At 39.6% G+C, this 9806-nt stretch overlaps 1 annotated feature.

Moving 5' to 3' along the window:
• Window positions 6497–7063: an enhancer, noted in NCBI's record as "NANOG hESC enhancer chr3:161577576-161578142 (GRCh37/hg19 assembly coordinates)". NCBI's record gives its function as "activates a minimal SCP1, AML or CMV promoter by ChIP-STARR-seq in naive H9 embryonic stem cells {active_cell/tissue: H9 hESC(naive)}" and the evidence as "EXISTENCE:reporter gene assay evidence [ECO:0000049][PMID:30033119]".

A 9806-nucleotide genomic window follows, 5' to 3' on the forward strand; every position in this document is an offset into this window, starting at 1 on the left:
GCATTTCCTGGAGTCTTCTGGCTGGCTCCCCAAATGTAACACCTAAGGTTCTTAACCTAGCCACACCAAGAATTGGTGCGGTGGCTGACCATGGCAAATGATAGAGACCTGGACTGAGAGAGAGTGAGCAGTAGGTTTCATTGAGCAGAGCAAGGGTACAAAGGTTCCACAGTGTGGAAGGGGTCTCAAACAGGTTGCCACTGCTAGTTTGGGTATTCGCCTTTCAAACGTTTTAAGTTGGGAGATACATGAGGCGGGAAGCTTGTTACAGGAGTGAGAAACAAAGGCAGTAAATTGTTTTGTGATATGTCTTAGACTTTGAGGAAAATCAGAATTGCAACTTAGGCTTTATCTACTTTATGACCTTACAGCGGCATGGCAAAAGAGACAGGATCTTACGGGACTTTACAAAGTATGTTTACAAAGAATTGGAATTGGGAGTGTAGATAAGGTCTGCTGGTCACAGAAAAATGGGCAGTTAACATTCCCTCTACTTTAGTTTCAGGGGAGGGGGAAGGGAGAGAGGGAGAGAGGACACGGGGACACTAACAGCAAAATTTTTGCTGTTTATAGCTTTCTTGGGGAAGAAAACACATGCACAAATCGTGGTGTTAGGAATATTTTAAGCATATATCTTCAATATTATTCATCCAGGACCGAAGTAAGTCCGGATGCAGGAAATGAGTGAGTTTCACAGCTTTCTGAGCCCCTACTTGGCCCAGGAAGCCCAACTGGTACCTCCTCTCACTTTCCCCCTTTTCCTGTGGATGTGGCTTCCTGTGAGCTGAACTGCAGTGATTGTTGTCTCTCTTCTGGGTCTAGCCATCCAGTGAGTCTACCTGGCTCTGGGTTGGTACTGGGGGTTTCTGTACAGAGTCCTGTTATGTGAATCATCTATGGGTCTCTCAGTCGTGGATACCAGTGCCTGTTTTGTGGAGGTGGCAGAGGGTGCAATGGACTCCATGAGGGTTCTTGGCTTTGGTGGTTTAATACTGTATTTTTGTGGTGGTTGGCCTCTTGCCAGCAGGTGGCGCTTTCCAGAAAACATCAGCTATACTAGTATGGGGAGGAACCAGTGGTGAGGGCCCTAGAACTCCCAAGATTATATGTCCTTTGTCTTCCGCTACCAGGGTGGATAGGGAAGGCCCATCAGGTGGGGGCAGGACTAGGCGTGTTTGAGCTCTGACTCTCCTTGGGCGGGTCTTGCTGATGCTGCTGTGGGGATAGGGTGAGATTCCCAGGTCACTGGAGTTGTGTACCTAGGATTATGGCTGCCTCTGATGACTCATGCAGGTTGTTAGGGAAGTGGGGGAAAGCTAGCAGTCACAGGCCTCATCCAGCTCCCATGCGAACTGAAGGGCTGGTCTCACTCCCGCCCTTCCCCTGCCACAACAGCCCCGAGTCTGTTTCCAGGCAGAGGGTGAGTCAGGTTTGAAAACTTGCATGAGGCTTCCTGCTTCCCAGCTGCCAAAGAAAAGGGCTTTAGTTCTTCCCCGTCCTGTGAAGTCTGCAAGCCGGATTTGCATCCTTCCCCATGTTCTGGCCAGGAGGTTTCTCTCCCCACTCAAATTATTACAAAGTTCACCTTGGGAAGTTCTTATCCCAATGGAGTTTTACCCCCTGCTCCTCTGGCCCCCTTCCTGATGGATCCCTGTGGTTCCAGGCAGGAATGGGGTTGCTTGGGGATTCAGTGAGTTCCCGTGGCCTCCCTGCTGCCTCCTCTGCCCCTGTATTTTCCTCAGCTCAGCTCTGTAACTTGACTCAGCTCCAGGTAAAGTCAGGAACTTCTCCCACAGACCTTCAACTTCTCCAGTGTGGGTGTGTGTTCAGGAGAGGAGAGTCTCCCTTTCCCACTTCTGCAGTTAGAGCACTTACAGTATTTGGAGTGTCTCCCGGCTCCTGCAGGAGCAGTCTGCTTTCTTCTGAGGGTCTGTGGGTCCTCTCAGGGTTGCTGGTTTGTTCTTGCAGTCAGTCTGGAGCTAAAATTCACAAGCAAGCCTCCACATGCTGCTCTGTCCAGAGCTGCAATCTAGTCCTGCCTCCCATCCACCATGATCCCTCCAATCACATTCCCTTTTTGGGGATATTTTTGACCCCTGGTTGGTTGAATTCAAGGATGCAGAGCATGTGGATACAGAGGGCTGACTATACTAATCCAAGAGAGAGCAGACATCAGAGCAAAGGACATTATTAGGCATAAAGAGGGCCATTGCATAATGACAAAGGGGTAAATACTCCAAGAAAAGATACAACAATCCTTAACGTGTATGCACCTAATGACAGAGCGCCCAGACATGTGAAACAAAAACTTATAGTACTGCAAGGAGAAATAGATACATCTACCATTATATTTGGAGACTTTAATTCTTCTCTATCAGAAATGGACAGATTCTGTGGGTAGAAAATCTGTAAAACAGTTGAACTCAATGGCACCATCAATTAACTGGATCTAATTGACATCCGTAGACTACTTCATCCAACAACAGATTAAACATTCTTCTCAAGGTTACGTGGACATTGATCAAGGGAGACCATATACCGGGCTATGAAATGCACTTTAACCAAGATGTCCTTCAGTAGGTGAGTGGATAAATAGACTGGTACATCCAGACAATGGAATATTATTCCACACTAAAAGGATGAGCTATCTAGCCCTGAAAAAACATGGAAGAACATTAAATGCATGTTACTTAGTGAAAGAAGCCAATGTGAAAAGGCTACATACTGTTTGATTCTAACTCTATATCATTCTGGAAAAGGTAAAACTATGGAGACAGTAAATAAATTAGTGGTTGCCAGGGGTTAGGGGAAAGGGCAGGTTGAATAGGCAGAACACAGTGGAATTTTAGGGCAATGAAACTCTTCTATACCATATTACAATGGTTGATACATGTCATTATATATTTGTCAAAACCCATAGAATATACAACACCTAGAGTGTACCCTAATTTAAACTGTAGACTTTAGATAGTAATGATGTGTCAATGTATGTTCATCAATTGGAACAAATGTACCACTTTGGTGGGGTATGTTGATAATGGGGGAGGCTCTGCATATTGGGAGTTAGGGGTACATGGGAAATCTCTGTACCTTCTGATTAATTTTGCTATGAACCTAAAAGTTGTATTAAACATAAAGTTTATAAATTAAAAAAGGACTTGACACTGAAAATGTATACTTTCCTGAGTGGACATGCAGCTTTGCAGGTTTGTTGTTTGTTTCATTTGTAACTGTGGGAGATACTCTCAACACCTGAGACTTGTCTAGAAGTGATCACAGACACAAGATGGTCTGAGCCCTGAAATCAACAAGGGGGTATATCCACAGTTATTTGAAATGAAGTTTGTTTTTTTGTGATGGTTTTGTGTCCAGTTGGTGCTGTCACTGGCTGAGAGTCTAATGTATGAAAAATCAAACTTAAAATCTGAGTTTCTTTCTTTTTCTTTCATTTTTCATAGTACCAGTAGGAAGGATAGTGAACAGAAATTTTTTGACTGCTTGCTTTAACTATTAATAGTGAATAAGCACATTTTATTTTGTGGGAGGAGGTAAAAAGAGCATGGATGTTGCTGGCCTTTAAAGCTTTACAATTTCCTCTTCTCAGATAGCTAGTTTTAACATTTTGAAACAATTAACTATGCAATGAGATCTTTTGTGAGACTTTTCCTGCAGTTCAGGAAGTTTAGCTAAAGCTCACATTTGAGAAAAAATATCTCTTATACTCTGAACTCTAAAGAAAAGTACAACTGATATACAATATTTAAATCTAGACTCCACCCTAAAGGGCTTTACATGTGACCCAAACCAAATGTGTTTTACTCACCTCACACATGGACACCCACTCCCTGTCTCCTAAACAAATATTTTCCAGTCTATATGAAAAGAAGATGGAAAGTGGTAGAACAAAGAGAAGCCAACCCTGAGGGGAGTAGAATTCTCAATGTAAGAGGTTGTTCTTCTTCTGAAGGCAATAGAGGTGTCTTGTATGTTAGAATGGATGAGGGTTTACAAAACACTGGTGTAGACTGGTGAGTGTATGGAGAGGCTTACAGGAAAGAAAGCTCTATTTTCATTTTCTGGATGAAAAAATATTGAGCTAAAACTATGTAGACCAAACTGATATTGCTCCTGGTATGTGAGAAGCTAACATGAATCCCCTGAAATTAAATTAAAGGGCATTTGTGAACATACAGACTTGCTTCTTCATATTTATTTCAGAAGGCAGGAAAATTGAAGGGACTTTCCATCAGGGCTTGAAAAGACTGTAGCATAATTTTGCAGGAGTTGGGGACAACCTTGTCCCTTCCAGTTCTCCATAATCCTCAGAAACCACAGAAGAGAACCTCTACATACCCAAAGCTCTCAGGTGTGGGAGTGTAGGGGATAGAGAAGGGACGGGAGCTCTTGGACTCCCCAGTCAGGTGCCATGACCACTAATAGTCCTTTTCATCTGAAGAAGGCATTTGGGGAATAGTCCACTGGCAGGAGATCAAGGGAGTCCAGCTGCCCCTCTCTGAGGGATCCTCAGCAACAGAGGAGGCCAGAGTGAAGCTGAGCATGGTCCTGTGAAAAGCATGCACAACACTTTTGCAGACTGAATAAGCCAGATGAAATAGGTCAAATCATTCACCACATACACACATATAATAATATCTCTGGGTCCCCTGCTCCCATTTATTTCTCTCAACATAGGAACTTAGACCCTGAAATTGGAGGAAAAAGCAAAATTCTGTCCATACCACTCCAACCAGACAACACCACAGCTGTAACCTGTACTGGATGAGAAAATAATTTTTTTAATAGAGACGGGGTCTTGCTATGTTGTCCAGTCTGGTCTTGAACTCCTAGGTTCAAGAAATCCTCCTGCCTTAGCCTCCCAAAGTGCAGGGATTGCAGGCTTGAGCCACTATGCCTGGCCAAGAGGAATAGGTAAATGGATATGAAGTTAAAATTATGAACTGGACAGGGCTAAGTTTTAGTAACTGAAACTGATCAGAACATTATAGAATCTTTCTAGGTTGTAAAAGAAAGGGAAAGAGGATATGTATGAACTACAGTGGGTGCTGAGGCACTAAGAAATATATTAGTTTTCTGTTGTTAAGGTACAAATTATCACACATTTAGCAGCTTAAAATGACATATGTTTATGATCTCAGTTTCAGGAGGCCAGGAATCTGGAAACTCAAGATCTTATTCCAAGATCAGTCAGGTTGTTGGTAGAATTTAGTTTCTTACAGTTACGGAATTCAGGTCCTCAATTCTTAGAGGCAGGCCCTTTCCATAGGTAGTTTACAACTCAACTGTTTGCTTCTTCAAGGCCAGCAGGAAAGCACTTCTGCTGCTTGAGGAAGGGCTAAGACCCTCTTTCAAAGAGCACAGCTGATTAGGTCAGGCCCACTTAGGATCAAGTCTTTTTGAATAAGTCAAAGTCAACTGATAAGGAAATCTAAATGCACCTGCAAAAGTCCCTTCACCTTTGCAATCTATCCAACCTAATCATGGAAGTGACATCCATCATAATTACAGGTCCTGGCCACACTGAAGAGGAAGACGATACGTTCAAGTGGTGATATGCCTCAGTGAGTAAGAATTTTGGGACCATCTAAGATGGTAGACAGAATACTAAGTATTCTGTCTACCACAGGAATGTTGGCACCTGTGAAGATTAAGACAGTGTATGCCTCACCTAAATTCAAATTCTATTTTCTTACAATCACTGCAGGCAAAACAAAATACTGCTTAGGTCTATAGGCTATGAGGTTGTAACTCCTAAATTATTTCCTGTTTATAATCTATTGAATTGTGACCCTTTAACCTATTACAGCTAAACTGACAGATTACTGGTCAAAATGAATTTGCTGTTTGTTCACATTGAAATAGTCCGCATGACAATAAGAACGATTTTGATGAAATTTACCAGGCCAAAGCTCGATTGCAAGGCTTTTTTTTTGTTTTTTGAGTAATTTCGCAACCCTTGGTCTTATTTAATATGCAGAGTACTTATCTCTGGTGAGTTAATGTCTTTCAAAAATTTTAGCTCTATTCCTGAATAATGATGGAGAGGTCTTATTAATTGCAATTTTTATAACATTTTCAAGCACCATTTTGTTATTCAGTGGATATCAATTATTTTTAAAAAGATATATTTTAGCATGTAAAAGAAAAGTCAGAAGTTTATTTTCAGGAGCAACAAGATAAAACCTGAGTCTGGGAATTGAAGTTGTGTGGTCAGTGAAGTTACTTATTTTCTTCTGAAACAAAAATTTACATTTATCTTTATATTTTTTTCTGGAAAGAAAAAGGTTAGCCACAGTTACTTATCACAACCTACTTCTGCTAAGCTTTTCCTTAATTAAAATAAGTGTTTGTGACTAGCAACAGTTATTAAAAGCACATAATATAAATATCTTCTCACATATATTGCTCCTTTTTGTTGTTTAGAAAGAGCACCAGATTATTACCACATAATTTCTTCTCTGATAATCCTTTTAATAAGGGAATAAACTTCAGGAAGTGGTTTTAAAAAATATTACGGCTGAAAAGTGCTAGTGAGAGGAAACTACAGACCTAAACAGCTTTTCCATTTCTTTGGATTTTATATTTTTAACAATAGATTGCATAGTTAGTTGCCTGCTTGGCAAGTTTATTATCCTTATCCAGTTGCCAAGCGAGAAACATTTCCAAACTGACAGCAGGTATTAAAAACACCTACAAGTGATTCAAGCCATTAAGAACTCATAAAACTTGAGTGTTCACTGGGCTTTGCTTTGTTGGCCAGGCTTTTCCTCAGGGAGCCCCCCTCCAGCTCCTGAAAGGAGATGACAGGCATTTCAAGGTGAAAGCATCAGCTTTTAACTGAAACTCTTAGGGTTCCACCCAAACAAAAAGAGAGTATTTTCCTCATATCTAAATATTTAAAGCTGATTCGTCAACTAATCTGGATTAAGAACAAAGGGCATCTGTGTTTCTCTGATACTGTCTAAAGTACTCGTAAAAAGCAGTTGTGGTGTAACTTACCGAACCCATACTTTTCTTTTATATTTTGTTAGTGTCTGTAAAAGGAAGATATCACTTCAGATTTCTTTGTAATGTAGATGCTTAGCAGTTTTTCCTATCATTGTTGAGGGCTGGGTTCATTTGAAAGGCTCTGGTTCAGTTTACTGAGAATTCCATACAGGGATTATGAACTCAAATTACCTATAGGGTTCAGGAAGATAACATAAATATGCAAATTAAGGGGGGGACTGAAGCAGTCAGGAGTATGGGATCCCTTGTGAACAGGACGGGACACATCTCACCTAAATGCATATTCATTTTTATTGTTAACACAAAAACCAAACAAAATACTTGTTAGATCTACAGACCACAAGTTTGAAACTCCTAATCTAGCCTTTGAAAGGAAACTCTGATATCCCCAAGAAAATCATATATTGGACCCCTCACTAAAATGGCCAACTCACTGTCTGTAAGACAATCAAACAATGGGATGAAGAAAATGAATTTAAACAGAACTTCTTTAAAAACTTAAAAGACTTAAGTATCTGCTGGGGAACATTACTTCTTTTACTTTAAAACATATTAAGATGCATGACTTTGAAGCATTGCTTGCCTGTAAGTCTTAGCTAAGGGCAAACATTTTATTGGTGCTCCAACACCCTATTATTAGATTTATTTCAGAACGTTCTCTTAACTTTGCATCTAGTAGTACTATACAAAAATATTTTATATAAAAATAAAAAATAACAGTAATTACATTTTTAAAAATATCCACATCCACAAGAGCAGAGGGAATGATAGGGGGCAGGTAACAGTGGGTGAGTGTTGGCAGGATACCAGCATTTTTATTTTTTTATTTTTTATTTTTTTGAGACTGAGTTTCGCTCTTGTTGCCCAGGCTGGAGTGCAATGGCGCGATCTCGGCTCACTGCAACCTCCGCCTCCCGGGTTCAAGCGATTCTCCTGCCTCAGCCTCCAAGTAGCTGGGATTACAGGCATGCACCACCACATCTGGCTGATTTTGTACTTTTAATAGAGACGGGGTTTCTCCTTGTTGGTCAGGCTGGTCTCAAACTGCCGACCTCAGGTGATCCGCCCACCTCGGCCTCCCAAAGTGCTGGGATTACAGGCGTGAGCCACCGTGCCCGGCAGTATATATTTTTAAGATTGGAAGTTCATAGTTGGGTGAGAAGTACCTGAAAGTGGAAGAGGCTGAAACCTAAAAACATATCGGGGGCAGGCGGAGGGTGGGGGTGCGGGAGTGGTGCTAGTAAATGCCAATTGATTCATCTGTCAAACCCTAGAATAACTCAGAAATTCAAGAAACCAGGTCAATGGAAAGATGGAAATAAATGATGTGACAACAACTGGGGGTTGAGGGACTATTTGGAAGCCTGAAAGAGCTATTAGAATCCCTGGATATCTACTTTATTCCACAGAGTAAAGTTATTAGTCCAGCCCGGCCCTCAAAAAAACTGGTTGATGTATATTTTGGAGCAATTGCATTCTGTACTCTAAGAAGCCAGACATATTGGAAGGAGAGGTTGAGGTAGTGTGCTGAGAACAGGTGTTTTGTTTCAAATATACTGGCAGCCAGACAAACCCCCAGGCAGGAGACTGGAGGTTGGGAGAAACTAAATCTCAAAGAAGAGATGTACAGAGAGTGATATTTTGGTGTACCTGACCAATCACATGGCAATGAAGAAGTTTCAATAGTTAGTGTATCATTTAAAAAAATTGAAAATAGATATATATGTAATTATTAAATATTTCAAGCAAAGAAAGCAACACACACCCATGAGTATACGATCAAAATTTTAAAAGATGCTAATATTTTCCATATTAGCTTCAAAGTTTTCTCTTTAAGAAAAATAAATTAGCTACTGCTAAAGTAGCATCCTGATCCTTTCATTCTCTATTCATCCCATTCACTTTGAGGTGAACACATTCCTGTATTATTCCCTTGCAAGCTTATCTATTTTTACTCTATATATGTATTCATAAACAATATATATTATTATTTCATGTGTTTAAACATTTTTAATACATTGTATTATTAATGTGTTTCTTTGGTTAACTTCAATTCTTCAATTAATCATAATTTATACATGCACCCACATACTATATATAGAGAAAGCCATATTTGGCTCTGTGTTCATGAACAAAGTTCCCCAAAGATTTTTCTCTTTTTTTTTTTTTTTTAACCAAGGTTATGTTAGCCTCACCAAATTAGTTTAATTAACATTTATTTTTCTGTTCTTTGCAGCAAATTGTAAAAGATACTGGTTTTAGGTTCCTTAATTTTTTCTATTACCTTCTTATAAAACTATCTGGGTCTGGTGGTTTGTGCATGTGTGTTTATGTACATTTAAGATTTTAACTACAAATTTGATTTTTTTGCTAATGGTTGGAAGTTTATTGACATATTGTATTTCTCCTTATGTCAATGTTGGTGAGTTATACTTTCTAAAAAAGTATCTGTTTTTCCAAGTTTTCAAATTTAATATCATAAAATATGCATTCAATTTCTGTTGTTAAAAATCTGTACTGTATCTTTATATGTACATATTGTTTGTGTGTGCCCTCATACTTTTTTCTTTGATCAACTTTATTAGAAGTTTGCCTATTAGTCTATTAGTTTATTAGTCCACGTTTTCAATTTCATTTATTATCTTAATGTTATTATTTCTTCTTTTATTTGGCTTAAACTTTTAAAACTTTGAACACTTTTGATTTGCTAATATGTACACTTAAATTTATAAATTTCTTTTTAGTTACAATCCACAAGTTTTCGTATTTATGTTTACTGT

The sequence above is a fragment of the Homo sapiens genome, chromosome 3 (genome assembly GCF_000001405.40).
Source record: "Homo sapiens chromosome 3, GRCh38.p14 Primary Assembly".
In the NCBI taxonomy this organism is placed as follows: Eukaryota; Metazoa; Chordata; class Mammalia; order Primates; family Hominidae; genus Homo; species Homo sapiens.